The following is a 19,280-nucleotide window of genomic DNA, read 5'->3' as shown; positions in this document are numbered from 1 at the left end:
AGGCATACGGATCACAAGGTCAGGAGATGGAGACCATCCTGGCTAACACGGTGAAACCCCGTCTTTACTAAAAAAAATACAAAAATTAGCCAGGCGTGGTGGCATGCGTCTGTAGTCCCAGCTACTTGGGAGGCTGAAGCAGGAGAATCCCTTTAACCCGGGAGGCGGAGGTTGCAGTGAGCCGAGATCGTGCCACTGCACTCCAGCCTGGGCAACAGAGTGAGACCCCATCACAAAAAAAAAAAAAAATTCTGCTCCTGTTCCCTGTTCTTGTACCCTACTCACTTAAAAACAAAATCAAAAACAAGACCAAAAAAACCCAGCTAGCCAGAGCTGGTTTCTGTCATTTCCAATCAAAAGAAACTTATCAGCCGGGCGCGGTGGCTCATGCCTGTAATCCCAGCACTTTTGGAGGCCGAGGGGGCGGATCATGAGGTCAGGAGATCAAGACCATCCTGGCCAACATGATGAAACCCCGTCTCTACTACAAATACAAAAATTAGCCGGGCATGGTGGCGCATGCCTGTAATCCCAGCTACTCGGGAGGCTGAGACAGGAGAATCGCTTGAACCAGGGAGTCAGAGGTTGCAGTGAGCCGAGATGGCGCCACTGTACTCCAGCCTGGCAACAGAGTGAGACTCTGTCTCAAAACAAACAAACAAACAAACAAACAAACAAACTTATCTACTGTCGCTACCACAGACTCTTAATACTTTGCCTCCAAGGTCCAAGTTAGTGCCTCAGCTCGGGAAGAAAGGGACCCTGGGTTACTGAGATTCAGACCAAATGAACTCCAGGACTCAGCTGGGAGATTTAGAAAAAGGCAACAGGAGGCAGGGGTAGCAGAGCAAGAAGAATGAGGAAGACCAGTAACCACAGGCCTTGGAAACTTGGCTATAAGTTTCACTTCAGTTTCTGAACTACGTAAAGGTGACTATTGTTTCCTGCCTTTGACATGAAACCTGGTTTCAGCCATGCTTAGCGGAGGTATGTTTTTGAGATGATCAGAGCTGGACCAAGGCAGGCATTTCCATTTACTTTGACTGAATGGTAACTTACAGTTATGTGTAAGAGTTACATATATAACTGTATGCAATAATATGAAATTGCATTGAAGGACCCTTTATCTTGTATTCCAGCAGGAACTCAGAAAGAGAGTAAGAACAGTCTCAATTCTTAGGCATTGGTTTGGTATCTGAAATAGAGTGTAGCACAGGGTACACAAAACTCCTAAAGAAAAACTTTTGTTTAGAGTATTTATTTTATGCAGTGAGGTCAGTGCTTATTCATCAGGTACCCCAGCTAGCCTGTAAGGTGTTTGAAGGCAAGAATAATATCTGATTTATCTTTCTATGTTATCAGTGGCTCACAGGGCCATTTCACTCAAAACATTTTGTTGAATTAAATTAAAATCAGATCATGTCCATCCGTGTTTCATTACTGCCCTCAGGTTCAGAAAATAAGCTCTGCAACTGGCATAATGAGTTCCTCTCTCCCCTCCTTCCAATGAGAAGTAGATTTCTTGGGGTTGGTGGGAGAGAATAGGGTTATTCAAGATCTTTTTCCTTCCTTCTTTGCCACCTGCTCTGCAAATGGACTTTAAGCCTTGTTCATTTACATGTGAAGGGGTTTTAATATTTAATTTCCAGTCTCATAGGGTGAAGTGCACTGAACTAGGAGAGACATACCAGTTAGTCAGTGTAGGAGAAAATTCTGTTCAAATATCCAAGTCAAGTCACTATTTTTGGAGTGCTCACTTGATTCTACCACTTATATGAGTCCACTATGGAACTAGATTAAAGTTTGAAGAGGACATCACAAACATTTGATAAATGCAAATTCAATTGTCCCTAAACTAATTCTTTATTATTTATCAAAGAACGTACAGCTTTTGCATAGAATCTGATGGAATTAATAACCATAAAAGCATTTTATTAAATATGAATAATAATTATTGAATACTTATACTATGCTAAGAATCATTCCAAATGTCCTATGTGCCTAATTTCATTCAATCTTCACAATAAGTCATTAAAGTATGAGCTACTACCATCTAATCAGTTTCATAAGATGATGAAACTGAAGCTCAGAGAGATTATTTAACTTACCTGAGGAGACACACAGAGCCGGCAAATGGCAGAGGCTGGAGTTGAAACTTAGAATTTGTGTGTTTACTCATTATACCATAATTATTCTCAGCCTCAATCTAGTCACCATGGAAACTTCTAGGGCATGTGAAATACTGTGCTGTATTGTGGGCAAGAGTTGACATGTATAAATCAAAGTTTGAAGAAATTGATTCTTTAGGAGGCAGCTTGAGAAAGGAGATGTGAGTTTTTGCTTCCCCATTTCTAACCAGGCCTCAGTTTCTTCATTTATAAAGGAAAAATGCAATAGTCCCTGAGCTCCCTTTCAATTCTAACATCCTGTAAATCTAACTAAGCATACAGGCCCAAATAAGGGGAAAAAAACATCGAGAAGCTTCATTACCAAATGCTTGTACTGCTTCCTGTAAATGTACAATATTCATTTGAAATACTTTGTTCCTGCTGTCATTTGATCTTACCTCTCATTTTCCCTTTCTTTCAGTTTCTCTCTCAAGCTGTAAATTTTATTTTACTTTGTTATACTTAGACAGGCTGTTTGATATCCTTGCTGAAGACACATGACTAAGATGAGCCTGTATATTTAGGGGGATGTTTTCTTTTCAGCCTTTTTATGTTTTAAAGTTTCCTCTGGTATAATTTCTGAAATAGCAATTCATGTAAATAAAATGGGAATAACAATAAATACAAAGGCAGAAGTTAAAGTTGATTCACACTCTTTAGAACAATAGGTTTACTTCATGTACCAAACATGTTATTGTAGACTTTAAAGAAGAGATAAAGAAGAGACTGAGGGATAGGACTAAGACATGTGTTACAGCCCTGCCATATCCTACAATCATTCTACTACATTATTGTAGCAGAAATTCTTCCAAATTTATTAAAGGCCATGCTGTGCCATGGCAGCAATGTATTGCAGTGTCGCTGTAGGACCAATTTCAAGAGATAGCAAGGTGCCTGGAAAGCATCTATGCTTCAGGACCAGGTTAGCCCAGATTCCAATCTCAGCTCTGAGTTCTTCCAAATCCATTTAAGGCCACACTGTACCATGGCAACAATGTACTGTTATTGTGGGACCAGTTTCAAAAGATAGCAAGGTGCATGGAAAGCATCTATGCTTTAGAACCAGATTAGCCCAGATTCCAATCTCAGCCCTGATGTTTACCAGCAGTGAAAACTTGGGCAAGTGACTTAAAACCTCTGAGTTTTCCTTTCCTCATCTGAAAATAGGACCGTTGTATGCATTATTGTGGGTGGCTGAGATGAAATAAGTTGATGTAGGTGAATGCCTGGAACCTAGCAAACACTCTAAAAATGTTGGCTTAATTCCCTTCCTCAGCTGCTTTTTCCTTTTTCGAATAAAACTCATCTATAAACTGAGAACATTTTGTATTTTTGGCAAACATCCAAGGAAGTTTGGAAAAATTCTAAGTTGTCACTAGTTGTTTTCTGAAGAACCACCCAATTCTCAAATTAAAATTAATTTTAACCACATTATTTAAAAATATCACCTGGGTGGTGTCACAAAACAAAATAATAATAGCGGTAGCTGTCGTCAAAAGATTGGGAATCCCCATATCAAAACAAAAAGAGAAATGGAGATTTGACATTTACCAAAAAACCAGATGAGATCTTTAAAATTGGGAACCAATTATTATAAAGGGTAAGCACAAACATAGAACTTGACTTGTATTATATTTTTTCATGCCTGTTAGGTGATTACAGTCACAATACAATGTAATAAATTATACATGGCAATTTCATGTTAAGAATTATTGAAACATAAACAAAAGGTAATGGTAAAAGTAATTTTTTGTTCTAATCATATTTAGACATTTAAGCATAAAGATAAATGCCGTCTACATTTTCAAGACTATATATATGAAACTTAGCTAATTACAAGAGGCTACGACAAAATTAATAATGGACCAAACATATTTATACTAATAAAAAAGTTTCTCAAATTTTCAAGTCTATTTGAGTTTAGTTTAGAGTTCATGCACAGACATGAATATGTTTTATTTGATATCCTACTATTGAGACAGAAAAACTCCAACCGGCCTGCCCACTGAGGTGAAGCCTTAGGAAGTTCGTGTCCTTTGCAGTGGGGAGGAGCCTGGCCCCTCCTCTTCCTGTGAGGAACATAGAATTCAAACTGCTGGGCAGGAAGCGCTCTAGCTTCCCTGTTTCCCTCTTTTCTTTCTTTTCATCCAATAAAACCCTGCTTCACTCACCCTTCAAACCGTCTGCGAGCCTAAATTTTTGTGGCCGTGGGATGGAGAGGGACCCGATCTTTAGCTGAACTAAGGAAAAGTCCTGCAACACTATCACAAATGAAAGGCAAATTCTGAATTTAATCATCACTGAGCATACATGCAACACAAAATATCATTTCAAATTATGTTTTTATAAACTTTGAAAGTTAAAATTGTCACAAGTTTGCTAGTTTTGATGTTGCCATGCAAAAAACTGCAATGCAGGCATTGGAAATGGGGCATCCAGCATGACATATTGTGGAAATGATCAGTACTTATTTTTTCAGGTCCTGGGACATAGCAGGAAGCAAAGCTGACAAAAGTCCCTTTCTTCATGGAGTTCACACACTAGTGTGGAAAAAAAGGTATTTTTTTAAAAAACATAAGTGAATTATAGATGTCAGAAGGTAAAAGGGCCATTGAGAAAAATAAAGCAAGAGAGTACATTGTATATCTCTATCATGTACTTGGGAAATTATTAGGTTTTGAGAATTGGAAGTATCTTAAGAGTGTTTATGGGTATTGATAAAAAGAAATTAGAGTGAACAGAAACTTTAATGGAGATTAGAGAGATGAAATAGAGATTATGGCAAGGGAAAGGGAAATTATCATAAAATACTCTTAAAGTTGTCAAGAGGCTTAGATGTTGCTTAGGAAATCCTTGCTTTTCAGATTAGCAAACAGAAATCCTAAAAGTGTAAAGAGTAGGGAATAGAAAAAAAAGATATCTTAAAATAGCATTAATCCCCTTAGGTCAACACTTTTATCTATTTTGAGTGCAAAAATGTTCTTACGACCCAAAATCAAATATTCTGGGTTTCACTCTACTGAAGGCATTATATATAACTGCAAGGCAAAAGTGTAAAGTTTTGGCTATTTGGATATCATTTCTGTTGCCCTCAAAGGTAATACCACTTGTGCCAGTAGATAAATGTATTATAAGAAAGTCACTCTTTAATAAACTTACCCTCTAGACCCTGCAGGGTGAGGCTGGGCCTGGGTGGGGTCTGGCTGAGAGCAGTGGCCTGAAATATCCAATTCTAGTCCTTGTCATTCTGGTAATCTGAAGTTGAGAGCCCTGGGAGGGGCTTGTCCATTGTGTGGACAAATGCTTTTCCTGGTGATGTTAATCAAACATAAGCTATAAGAAATATCTGTACTTCTGGCGTGAACCCGGGAGGCGGAGCTTGCAGTGGGCCGAGATCGCGCCACTGCACTCCAGCCTGGGCGACAGAGCGAGACTCCGTCTCAAAAAAAAAAAAAAAAAGAAAGAAATATCTGTACTTCATCTGAAGGTGAACATGAAATCGTTAGCCTGAAGATCTTCTGATCACTGGGAGCCAATACTAGGAGCCCATGCTTAAATGAACAAGAAGAAAAGGCCTATTTTTAGAAGGTGGCATGTCAGTTTCCATTCACCATTCTTTATAGTCTGCAATGCTGACTCCGTAACCTTGAGGAATTTCTGGGCTTACAAGTCATCATGACTTGAGCACATTATCTTGTTTCCCAAGGCCTATTACTCCCAGAGGGGCAAGATTTGAACACTCATCTGTCATGGGTTTTGCCTGTTGTTCCTAGCCCTGATGGCTTTCCCTTCATCTGGCTGGGACAGATAAGAGGAATAAAGCTGGTGGACTCTAACTCAAGGGCTGGAAGCCAGCAAGTCAAGTGCATATCCATCAGCACGAGGGGCCGAAAGCAGGAATTCAAACAGCAGCAAATTCTTCATTGGATAATGAATAGAACAGAGGAGAGGCAGTGGAGAGGATAAAAATATTAGGTTCCTGAGTTATATTGTAATAAATAAAATGGCAATTGTAGTCAAGATAATAATACAGCAGGTTTGAGTTTTAGAGAAACTACTGTAGAAGTCTGGATGACAAATCCTTACAATCCCTAATGCATCAATCATAAGGCTTCTTTACTCAGAACAGTGTATTTACAAGGAAGCTTATCATTGTCCCAAATGCAATATCAAAACATCTTTATTTTGGCGCATCCTTAGGTGATCCTCTTGCCTGATGATTGGATCAGTGCCAGAAAGGTTCAACCAGAAAGCACTGCCTTCACTTTGATCTTAAATGTTTTGAAATCTGCCAGTAGGCAGAATATGTATCTTTTCCCTAACTTGGAGAAGGCCCAGGAAGGAGCACAGGGAATGATCAAAGAAGTTGAAAATAGAGTCTAGGAGAAGAATTTAAAAGAAGGGAGCTGTCTTTGGTTGGAAGAAAAAGAGAAAGTAGAAAAATGACAACTCTAGTGGCTTTGAAGACTACAAAGAGTTCTTACTCATAGTTATCCATGTATTCATTTATTTATTCACCCAAAATGCCCTGCAGTGGGCCAGGACCTGGCGGATATGAAATACAAAAATTAGAGGTACACAAAACAAAACCCTGGCTTTAAAAATCTCCTCTACATGGCCAGTGACCAATAACTGAACAAAATCAAGTGTGGAATTGGATGCAAGCAGGAAAGGAGACTGAAGTGTAGGGATTTGAGAAACTGAAATGCTTGCCAAGGCCAAGGTAGCAGTGGAAATAAATACACCTCCACTGGCCATTTGTTCATGGGAACAACTGCTTGTTAAATGGTGAAGTAATTTTCAGGGTTGATTGGGAGAATTTATACCAGGAGAAAGAAGGAAAAAAAGGTTATAACTTCATTTCGTAGTTTGGGTTATTCTTTCTTGGGCTTGGTGTGGTCAGTATAAAGCAGAGCAACTATTTTCTAGTTTCCGCTGTGCACTTCATGTATACTAGACACTGTGTGAGTCACATCAGGGACTACCCACACCACATAAATAGCAGAAAAGACAGAAGCCAATGATGCCATCTCTTCCCATCACACTGAAGTTAACAGAAAGCCCACTGGCAAGTTTGCCAAGAAAACACGTATGTACAAACTCATGGTAACTGGTTGTGTTATTAAGTCTTGAGTTCCTCTTGTGCCGCAGGTTCTTGGAATTTCCTAGTCTTTGATTAACTAAGATTTATCATTATTTAGGACAAAAGTGTTGTGATTCTATATCACAAATACAGGGATGATATTTTACTTCATTAAAATAATATAAATAAACAAGATGTTCAATCTTAGATAATTCAAGTGCCAAGATAGACTGTTTTTTGTGTTTTTTTTCTTTACACATGAATTTTTTTCTGGTTTAATTCTCTAACCATTCAAACAGGAAAATTCAAACTTTTCCAGCCATAGTTAAGTCTAGCTTAAAATCTTATTTAAAAAACCGTGACAATAGAAACAGAATTTTATAACTTAGGAGAGTGCTTCCTAGTTAATATTTTCAATATTCAGTGATCTCTGTGAACATTTAAGTGGGAATTTTAGTTTTTAAAATGCTCAAAATTTACTTCTGTGGGTCTCACTCATATGCAAACTGCCTATATCTGAAATTATGAGTAATCAAAAAGTCATTTTTACCTTTGTTCTTTTTGTGTGTATTGTATATGTTATTTTAAAATGGTGAGCCCATTTTAAAGAAATTGTGTGCTTTTAATCAATCCATTAAGTAACACATTCTGAGAAAATATCTACTTTATACAAAATACATTGTTTTCTCTTCAAGATAATGCTGAAATATAAATGACAACAATGACATTCTTAAATTGAAATCTGCCTTGTCTCTCCTCCATCCCGAAACATTATTTCATAAGTCAAGTGTCTGCTCATAGCTTACCTGTCTCGCTTCCAATCAAAGGCTGATTTGCAAAATGCTTGACAAAATCCTTCAAAGATGAGAATTCATTAAAGCCAAATTTAAATGAATATCCAGTATATTCAACATGAAAGTGTTTAACAGAATCTTTGGCCCTAAAAGGGAAAAAGAAGTATTTAATATTATTTAACAAATAAATATCTTGTTGAAGGGAAATATGATCTCAGATGTTAGCATCACTATTAACCCTTTATAAGAACTGAGAATTAGGCAATCATTGAAACCACTGACAGTTTTAAATAGCATCACTAGTTTCTTTTGGCAGAGTTTGCTCTTTTCAACTTTTATTAATTAATTAATTCATTTATTTATTTACTATTTTGAGACAGAGTCTTGCTCTGTCCCCCAGGCTGGAGTGCAGTGGCATGATCTAGGCTCACTGCAACCTCCGCCTCCTGGATTCAAGTGATTCTCTGGCCTCAGCCTCCTGAGTATCTGGGATTATAGGTGTCTGCCACGATGCCTGGCTAATTTTTGTATATTTAGTAAAGACTGGGTTTTGCCATGTTGGCCAGGCTTGTCTTGAACTCCTGACCTCAGGTGATCCTCCTGCCTCGGCTTCCCAAAGTGTTGAGATTACAGGCGTTAGCCACCACGCCCAGCCTCAACTTTTCACTCTAATGGAAGACAAGAGACTGTTCTCCCTATCTACTCCTAGACTTACCAAAAGAGTCCTTGAACATTATGCTGCTAAGGGGCATGAGTTTAAGAAGGGCAGAGAATAGGAATGATAGAAATGACATATGACACCCTCACCACACTCTCCTCTGCCTTGGGCTTTTCTCCCTTGCTTGTTTGGGAGTCAATCAGAATTCAGCTCTGTCGCTTGATTAGTTACGTGAGCCTAGCCCTTTTCCTCCCGTGCATGTTCCACTGCCTACTGAATAAAATATCAAATTTCCTACATTGTCATTTTCCACTTCATTTTTGAAATGAGGCAGAGTATTAAACAATATATATATATCTATATATATATCTATAGATATCTAATCTATATATATCTATAGATATCTATATATATCTATATATATATATCTGCCTCTCCACTTTATTTGATCCCATTCTATCTTTCTAGCCTCACTTCCTGCTATTACTCTCAGTGCAGCCCATGCTACCATGTTAGCATGCTTCAGAATCATCTGATGGGCTTGTGAGAACCCAGCTTGCTGCCACCTCCACCTCCACCCCTGCAGATTGAGATTCGGTAGATCCAAGGTGGGGCCTGAGACTGTGCATTCCTAGCATGTTCTTAGGTGACACACCTGGTCTGGGGACCACACCTTTAGAACAGCTGCCCTAGTCCAACTGGATCTACTGCTCTTCAAGGAGTTTCCACTTCTGTCCCTTAGTTCATACTGTTCCTTTTTCCTGAAACGGTCTTTCTCTTTGTCTCTGCTGGTAGAAATCCCAGCCACTCATTAAGGTGCAGTTCAAGTACCACCTCCTCTGTCAAGTATTACATGATAATTCCAGCTTAAGTTAACTGCTTTTTCCCTTCTGAACCACCTAAACACTTATCTTGCTTTCTTTTATGTTATTTGTCAACCTCTACTTTGTAGTATGTTACTTGTATGTGGTCTTTTTGGCTCTGTGAGGCTGTAATTCCCCAAAATAAGGTATTTCAATCTTCTACAGCAGGGATCCCCTATCCTGGGGCTGCAGACTGGGTACCTGTTAGGAACCAGGCCGCACAGCAGGAGGTGAGCAGTGGGTGAGCAAGCATTACTGCCTGAGCTCTGCCTCCTGTCAGATCAGTGATGGCATTAGAGTCTCAGGAGCCTGAACCCTATTGGGAACTGCACATGTGAAGGATCTAGGTGGCACACTCCTCATGAGAATCTAATACCTGATGATCTGAGGTGGAACAGTTTCATCCTGAACCCGCATTTTCCACAAAACCAGCCCCTGGTGCCAAAAAGGTTGGGGACCACTGTTCTACAACACGTACCAAAGTGGCTGGTGCAGAATAAATGCTTTCAAATATTCATCATTAAAAGAATGAACAAATAAGTGAATATTTGTTCATAAAACAAAAATAGTCATTCTCCTGAATTAGTCTGTGGTTTTTGTCACCTCTGCTGGTCATTTTTTTAATAAGCATTCTCTAGTGCTTGCAATGAAAATCAATAATTTATTCTTTATTTTTTATGTATATGAAATATGTATGTCATTGATTTATAAAAAGCTTATGATCTAATTGCTCAGATGAGACATACATAGGTGAAAAGTTAATTAACTTTTCATTTTTGGAAGATTCATGCCAGGGGTCCCCATCCATCCCCCTGCCAGCCACGTAGCAAGAAAACGAGTGATGGGTGAGCTAGCGAAGCTCATTTTTATTTATAGTTGCTCCCCATTGTTTGCATTCTCAATGAGCTCCACCTCCTATCAGATCAGTAGAGGCAATAGATTCTCATAGGAGTGCAAACCCTATTGTGAACTGCACATGCAAGGGATCTAGGCTGTGTGCCTCTGATGTTAATCTAATGCCTGACGAACTGTCACTGTCTCCCATCACCCCCAGATGGGACCATCTAGTAGCAGGAAAACAAGTTCAGGGCTCCCACTGATTCTGAATGATGGTGAGTTGTATAATTATTTCATTATACATTACAGTGTAATAATAACAAAAATAAAACACACAATAAATGTAATGCACTTGAATCATCCCAAAACCATCTGCCGCTGCTCCGGTCTGTGGCAAAATTGTCCCTGGTGCCAAAAAGGTTGAGGACCTCTGATGTGTGCAATAAAGCATCTACAACTTAACCATTAGATGAACTTTTAACATTTGCTGTTGAGCAGAGAAAGCACAATTCTTGTTGCCACTCAAACAGAATTCCATCTTGGATTAATAATTTTTTCATCTATGTTATTCAGAAAATTTATAAATAAAATATAACAGGGTGACATGAGAAATGTTAATGAATATGCTTGTTTTTCCTCTGTGACCCCTACTTACCCCATCACCCTCTACCTGTTTCGCACACCCACCCACTTCAAGTAGGCCTGTAGATTTTCACTGTTCCAGGAATGGGAGTTGTGGCAGGCAGCATTCTAAGATGATCCCAAATCCCAGCCCCTGGAGTACACACACTTTATCCCAATTATTCAATCAAAAACTAGTCTACATGCTACTGGGAAGGGATTTAGCAGGTCATAAAGTCCCAAGTCAGTTGATGTTAAGATATGGACATTATCTGAGTGGGCCTGAACTAATCACATGAGCCCTGTAAAACAGAGTTTTCTCTGGCTGCTCACAGAAGAAAAAGTCAGGGAGATGTGTTCTGGCTGGCATGCAAGAAAGCAAACACCCATGTGGTAAACAGCCATGGGTGCCATGTGGCAAAGAACTGTGGGTGGCGTCTAGGAGTTGAGAATGGCCCCTGGCTGACAGCTAAAAGGAAAAGGAGGACCTCAGTTCTACGGCAGCAAGGGAATGGATGAAAAAGGATGAAGAGGAAAGGAGAAAATGAAGGAAGAAGACACTAAATACCAGATCAGAGCCACAAGCTTCTCCAACACCTTTATTTCAGCCTGGTAGGATCCTGGACAGAGAATCCAGCCAGAAACTGTGAGATAATCCAGTTGCGTTGCTTTAAGTCCCTAAGTTTTTGATAATTTGTTATGTAGCATAGAAAATGAATATAGAAGCAAGGCCCAGAGCCCAAAGAGACAATGTGAATGCTGCTACTGAGTTAGTGACCAGTAGTGACCGTGTAGACTGGGAAAGAAGTGAGAGAGCCTCTGAGGCCAGATTAGCTTGAGGAACTGCACTATGAAGGGAAGAGTGACTCTCCAGGGTATATGGAGGTGCCATCAGAACAGTAACACAATAACAGTTTGAGCTTAATGGGTGGGTGGCTGAGGGAAATTTCATGGAGTCCTTACATCCCCTGCCTAATCCATGGAGAAGCGCCTAAAAACCCAAGAATACTTGCTACATGTCAGTGGAAGCCAGAGTGTCAGATGCGACTGAGAACCAGCCGCCTCCCCTGACTACCAGAAGCTTGGTCAGCCTCTCTGATCTGGGGCACCAGACAGAAAGAAGGGGGTGTGAGGTGGGGAGGACCTGAAAGATCTGGACAATGACTGCATTTGGCTGTATGAACCTGGTGGGGACTGGATTAACTTTCTTACCATTTGGGAGAAATAGAGACTCAATATGAAAAGCTAGCCCACTATAGGAAAAATTTTAAACATGTATATTGCCTCCTTGAGGTTGTGACTATGAAAGCCGTACAGTCATAAATCATTCTGCATTTACAGAGAAATCAAAGAATAGTGAAAAGGACACTGAGCCAGGTGTCAGGAATTTGGATTCTGGCACTGTTTCTATTGTTGATTTTTGAGGTACCAGACATTCCACCGCTTTGGGTTTCAGATTCTTCAACAGTCCCATGAAAGGTTTCCATCAAATAATTCCTCATGTCTCCTCCAGCTCTAACAATTTTTTTCCTGCTAATGAATGGAGCAGGAATGTTGTTTTACACCCTCATCATTTAGAGTTTGGAATCCTTTAACCTGGTGGTCCAACAGGAATTGGGAAGTTTTGCTGTCTGGCAATTTGAGTGATGATAAAGTCAGTAAGTGACAGAGGAGCCCATGCTGAAGTCGTAGAGCCCTGAAGCACCTTACCTCACAGAGAGAGAGTACAGCCCGGTGGTCTCATTGCTGTCCCTCAGAAGGTAGCTGCCGTCACATCCATTTGAGAGGAGAAGAGCTTCAGCAGCATGGCGTGTGAGGTTGCCGTGATACCACCTAGAAAGGAGGGAACAGCGCTTTCACTCAGGCCAAACCATGGCATGACTCCCCCTGCACTGGCTTTTCCTTGCAAAGATTACCTAGCAACATTCTTCAAGATAAGTAGCCCAGAGACCCAGCTCTCAGCCCCAACATTAGGACAAGGAAATCCCTGGGTGGGGCTGAAAGGAGAGCACAGAGTTGACTAATAGTAGCGTGACATGGGTTGAATTGTGTCCTGAAAGTTCTTATGTTGAAGTGCTAACCTCTCAGTACCTCAAAATGTGACCTTGTTTGGAGACAGGGTCTTTACCAAGTTAAAATGAGGTCATGGCTGGGTGTGGTGACTCACACCTGTAATCCCAGCACTTTGGGAGGCCAAGGCAGGCGGATCACTTGAGGTCAGGGGTTCGAGACCGGCCCGGCCAACATGGTGACACCCCGTCTCCATTAAAAACACAAAAATTAGCCTGGCATGGTGGCAGGCACCTATAATCCCAGCTACTCGGGAGGCTGAGGCAGGAGAATCACTTGAACCTGGGGGACGGAGGTTGCAGTGAGCCAAGATCATGCCATTGCACTCCAGCCTGGGTAACAGAGTGCAATTCCATCTCAAAAAAAAAAAAAATGAGGTCATTAGGGTGGGCCCTAATTCAATATGACTGGTGTCCTCTTGTAAAAAGGGAAAATCAGGAGATAGATTTGCCTACAGGGAGAACAGCGCATGAACATGACAGTCACTTCCAAGCCACAGGAAGAGGCCTGGAACAGATTCTCCCTCACGGCCCTCGGAAGGAACCAATCCTGTTGACACCTTGATTTCCGACTTTGAGCCTTCAGAACTGTGAGGCAATCGATTTCTTATAGTCAGCTGCCCAGGCTGTGGTTCTTTGTTATAGCAGCCCTAGCAAACTAATACAGTGTTGCTTTGTAATCAGAATTGGTTTTTAAAGTCCAAGTCAAAATACCATAAGAATAGGCTTTGACCAATTTCCTTCTTTTTTTGGTCTCTCACACTCTTTTTCAAGTGTGGTACCTTTTCACGGCGAAACCTCTGTGCTATAATACTAAAGGCTATTGTCATGAGTGAAACGAAGCTGGATGGAAGGAATTATAGTATGAAGTAAATGCCACCAAGTACTGTTTCAGCCTGACAAGTATCTGAAGAGCTAGGGAATGCTCAAGGAGATTCAAAATGATATTTGTGTTTTAGAAAAGGTAATATATATCTATGGTAAAAAAAAAAAAATTCAAATTGTCCAAAAGGAGACATAGCAAAACATGTTTTCTTCACCCTGGGCCCTCAGGCTCCCTGTTCCTTTCCTAGAGGACACCTTGGTAACCATTTTCCTGTGCTTCCTCTTAAGAGATAGTCTACACACTTAGAGGCATTGGATGTGTACCTCCACTCCTGATTCTACAAACATACGAGCATTATTTATTATTTTTATTTTCTAGGCATATTGCTCTGCACCATCTTTCTTTTCTCCAATAACAGGTCATTCACATTCTTTTAAACGATGTCATAGAGGCATGAAATGTGATGATTAGGATTGTGGCCCCGGGGGTTGCTTTGCCTGGGTCCCAATCCAGGTGGTACCTCTTACTAGCTGTATGGCCTTGGACATGTTACTTAACCAATCTGAGCTTTGGTTCCTCATGTTTAAAATAGTATGACTAATAGGCATACGGCATAGGCCAGTTGTGAGTCCTGCACACATTAACATGGATGAGATGTGCTCCATAAAGCCTGGCAACTAAAGCAGTGCTTAGTATGCGTTAATTGCTACCAGGAAGCCATTGAGATCCAAAAAGCCGTAACTTTCAATTTACCCTCTGTGGCATGACTTTCTTATTGCTCAAATAGAATTTTTGTTACTTTTTATTTAGATCAGATAACAGAAAGCTAGACAGCAGAGGCAGTTGCTGACTGCTAGGGACCACAGTTTAGGTCAGTGAAGATGAAAGAGAGACAGGCAATTATACAAATAATGTCAGTGTGATGAACTAAATGCTATTAAAGAGGTGTGTATAGTGTAAAAAAGCTTTGAGGAATAGCCCTATTCTGGCATTAAGGGATCTTGTTGTCATGAACCACACTGATATCCACTGAGACATCCCTGTGGCATAAACTTTTAGCCTGAGTAATAAAGAGTAAACCTAAGTGCACCTGTGGAAGGAAGTTTTTACATAGGTCTCCAAGATACCTATTTTCTAAATCTGCATTTCCTAATGCATGTTTCTTAGCATATTTTATCTTTGGGGCAGAGATGCTTTCATCCTATATTAGAAATATATTTGCTAGCTGAAAGCAATGGCATGAAACACATTTTATAAGAATAAACACAGAGCTATTTACCCAAAGCAGCTCCATTCATTGAACTGATTCCCAGACAAGTTCAAATCTGTTCACTACAAAATGCTTTCAAAGAACAATTGGAAGAATTATAAGTGAAACAATAATAAAGTTCAAGTTCAACTGAAGCCAAAATTCTAATTCTTTTTGATAGGTGAAATTTCCACAAGGTTATAAAAACTTAGATATATTTTGCCAATAATTAACTTTATAATAAACATTTCAGCATAAGTTTCAGTTCGAGCCAGCAGATTGTTTATTTAAAGCAATACTTCATTTGTGAAATTCCAAAACATTTAAAGGATTTGGACATTCCTTTGGATTCTTTTCAATGGAATTGGAAGTTTGTGTTTAAAGCATTTATAGAATTCTTCTTACATCTAATTATATAGCCTGATAACAGTTGTTTATGTAAAGCAATATTTGATTCGCAAAATTCCAAAACATTTAAAGGATTTGGACATTCCTTTGGATTCTTTTCAATAGAATTGGAAGTTTGCGTTTAAAACATTTATAGAATTCTTTTGACGTCTAATTATAGCCTGATAACAGTTTTTACTAATAATGTTTTAATGATAATTTAAAAAACAATAACTATATACCATAAACACATAAGAAATACTTGAGTATAATGCAAGAAGAATCACACTAAGCTGCAGTCTGGAAAATTCTTGGAGACTGCAATTCCTTGGTGGCAGCTTTGCCTGAGTCAATATTGCCTTTTCAGGAGTTTACAGACTCCAGGGCCTGGGCAAGCCCAGTATAGAGCTTTCCAGGCAGCCACCTACATTCCATGATGTCAGTGGTGCAATAAGGATCCTCATTCCCCAAATAGCTTTTCCACAAAAACCTAAACTTCCCCTTTTAATTGAGTTAAGCATTCCTTTCCTGGAACATTCTGATGAGCATTTCTTTCAGGGGAGTGAATGTATATCCTAATGACATTTGTATTCTTTGTAGAAATATGTCCACCTTTGATAAGGATGATTCAAGACTGTGTCCATAAAAGTTAAAAATAGAGTTAAGTTGGTAGTTTTCCCATAATCAACCTTTTCTGCCTTCAGTCATTGCTTCAAATCTGTGCAAGGCATTGTGCTAGGCAGGTCAAAGGGAACAAAAATGGAAAAGCCTCAGACTGGGTGACAAATAACCATTAATCTAGTCAGGAGAATAAGACAAGCATATTGCAAACTATATCCAAGAGAGAATAAAGTACCCAAGGGATGTTCTAAAAAGAAAGATCGAAATCAGGTTCCCTGAATGAGCCAACATCTGTATAGGCCTTGAAATATAACCTGTTTTTTTTTTTTTAAGGTTGTGTTACCTTTTATTCTGATTATAAAGCATATATAGTAAAAGTTAAAATATATACATGTAAAGAAGATAAAGTATGTGTTTTTCAGAAGAGGAAAGATGTGTTTCAAATAAATAATCTCACTATTAATCAGAGAAATGCAGATTACAATAATAATGTGATATTTTTCTTTATCCACCAGATCGGTTATAATGAAAGGATTGGATAGTATTAAGTATTGGAGAATTTGGGCAATGGCTATTACTGTCCATTGTTGATAAGGGTCTAAGTTGGAGGGGAATTTAGCACATAGGGTGTAACTGAACCTCCACATATGACCAGCGATTCCTCTTCTAGTTTCCACCTAGTGAAACACCCATACATGAGCAGAAGAAAATATGAACAAGGGTGTTCACTGCAGAATTGTTTGTAAGAGTAAGAAATCTAGAGCCATCCTAAATGTCCATCGACATGGAGATGATAAATAAAGTGGAGTGCTAAAAGGATGAGATTATGTAAAAAGTTAACCAAAAGTGTTTGAAAAGCTGTGAGCATATTTTTGGTTGCCAGATAATGAGGGCAGGGAGTCGGGGTGCTATTGTTATTTTGTGAGAGGGTGCCAGGGATGCTTAACATCCTACAAATGATACAGTCTTGAAGAACCAAGAATTGTCTTGTTCATGATGTCAATTACACCCCACCACTGAGAATCACTGAAGATAGGTGTGTATACACACACACATCAAAGTTGATAGATCCCAACATATATTGTAAAGTTAGAAGAACTAGTTGCAGGCACCAAATGTTACCACTTGGTTTTAACACGTTCCCCTATAAAATATCAACAACAAAAATATGCTTACATATTAAGATATATAAAAACATAAAATAAGAGTTTTAAAAATATACACCAAATTCATAAGTATGATTTTCTTTGTAGAAGGAACCAGAATTTGTTCAAAGGAGACTTTAGCTTGATCAGATTTTTCTAATTTAGCTTGTTCTAATGAAAAAAATAGATTTCTATATTAGTTAGCTACAAATTTAATTAGAAAAAAAGAAAATAGCTAATTTCTTACTTAATCCAACTTCCAGAGATAACCTTATTAATAATTTGCCATATTCTTTCATTTATTCAACTACTGCTTATTGAGTACTTGGACTGGCCTAGGCACTTAGGTGAAGATTGAGAGAGAGAGAGAGAAAGAGAAAGAGAGAGAGAGAGAAAGAGAGAGTTTGGCTTTTTCCTATTAAAAGTCTGGTGGGGTTTGGATCCGCAGTTGTTCAGGGAGATATAACATGGGAGGGAATAGCAGCAGCAAAGGCCTAGAAGTGAGAGAATGCAAGGCGTGTATGAGAATCAGAATATCATGTAGTCATGTGAGAATTCAAAGTGAGTGATGAAGGACAGCAGTTGGGAATGGTGAGAGATGAAGGTGGAGGATATTGAGGCTCTATATGTGGCACTGAATACTGACAGTTCCTTGTCTGATGTTTATAGAGCTGCCTGTGGCTTAATATGCATGTCCAATAGCTCATTACATAAAATCTAATTGCATGGACCTTACAGTTTCTATAATTTGCTCTATATTCAATTTTTTTTTTTCCTAGATAGAGTCTTGCTCTGTCACCCAGGCTGGAGTACAGTGGTATGATCTTGGCTCACTGCAACCTCTGCCTCCTGGGTTCACGCAATTCTCGTGCCTCAGCCTTCCTAGTAGCTGAGACTACAGGCATGTGCCACCATGCCTGCATAATTTTTGTATTTTTAGTAGAGATGAGGTTTCACCATGTTGACCAGACTGGTCTTGAGCTCCTGACCTCAGGTCATCTCCCGGCCTTGGCCTCCCAAAGTGCTAGGATTACAGGCGTGAGCCACTGTGCCGGGCCAGAACTATATTCAATTTTTAAAAATTTGAATATTCCAGTTATTAGGGATAAGAGGCAGATTTCAATGGTCTTGAAGCTTATAAAATCTGGAGGTCTCTTTAAGACAAATTATGCAAAATTACAAAAAAGAAAGGAATATTTATTTAAAATGAGAAATCGCAAATTACAAATTTTAAAAACAAAAATATCACAAACATCACAACACAGAGAAAATAACGTATTTGTATTAATTAACTGTTGAATCAAACCTTATAATTTTTTTCTCTATATTTTTGCTGTCTGGTATTTGATTGTCTCTTCATGTAATAATTTAATAATATAATTTTCTATGGGGGAATGGAATGATAATTCAGTCTTTCATCTAGAACACTTTAAAAACTTCTTGATAGTATAGAAAAGCTATTTTCAGCTTCTCAATGTGATTAGTAATGAAGTTTTTATAATTGTTGGTGAGGAGAGGTCATGCATTTGTCTCTGGTCGTTCCCTCAGGTAGTCTATCTGCTCCAACAATTTTTACCTTATTCACTATGTGACCCCCTGGCAAGTAGCAACCTCAGTTTTCTCATCCATCAAGGTGACTAGTAAGAATGCCTAGGAAAAAAACTTTCTTTTTTTTTTTGAGACGGAGTTTCACTCTTGTCACCCAGGCTGGAGTGCAATGGTGTGATCTCGGCTCACTGCAACCTCCACCTCCCGGGTTCAAGCAATTCTCCTGCCTCAGCCTTCTGAGTAGGTGGGACTACAGGTGTGCACCACCACACCTGGCAAATTTTTGTATTTTTAATAGAGACAGGGTTTCACCATATTGGCCAGGCTGGTCTCAAACTCCTGACCTCAGGTGATCTGCCAACCTCAGCCTCCCAAAGTGTTGGGATTGCAGGCATGAGTCACTGCGCCTGG

At 39.3% G+C, this 19,280-nt stretch overlaps 1 protein-coding gene across 7 annotated transcripts in view; it reads right to left on the bottom strand.

The window, feature by feature from the left end:
- DAPP1 (dual adaptor of phosphotyrosine and 3-phosphoinositides 1) overlaps positions 1-19,280 on the bottom strand; it is a 55,507-nt gene that overhangs the window by 23,854 nt on the left and 12,373 nt on the right. For 6 of the 7 annotated variants that reach the window (XR_007096391.1, XM_017008024.2, XM_011531840.3 and 3 more), the window contains exons 2-3: positions 12,735-12,857; positions 8,058-8,191 (exon numbers count right to left, since the gene is read on the bottom strand). Coding sequence is in view for 5 of the 7 variants with exons in the window: in XM_017008024.2 (XP_016863513.1) it covers positions 8,058-8,191; positions 12,735-12,857 (257 nt within the window). In the remaining 2 variants the exon portion in view is untranslated. Of the gene's footprint in view, positions 1-5,327; positions 5,480-8,057; positions 8,192-12,734; positions 12,858-19,280 lie in introns of those variants that run through there. The other variant, XM_011531843.4, reaches the window with a different exon arrangement.

This window comes from Homo sapiens, chromosome 4 (assembly GCF_000001405.40).
Source record: "Homo sapiens chromosome 4, GRCh38.p14 Primary Assembly".
Taxonomy (NCBI): Eukaryota; Metazoa; Chordata; class Mammalia; order Primates; family Hominidae; genus Homo; species Homo sapiens.
This window is presented reverse-complemented; position numbering and strand designations above follow the sequence as displayed.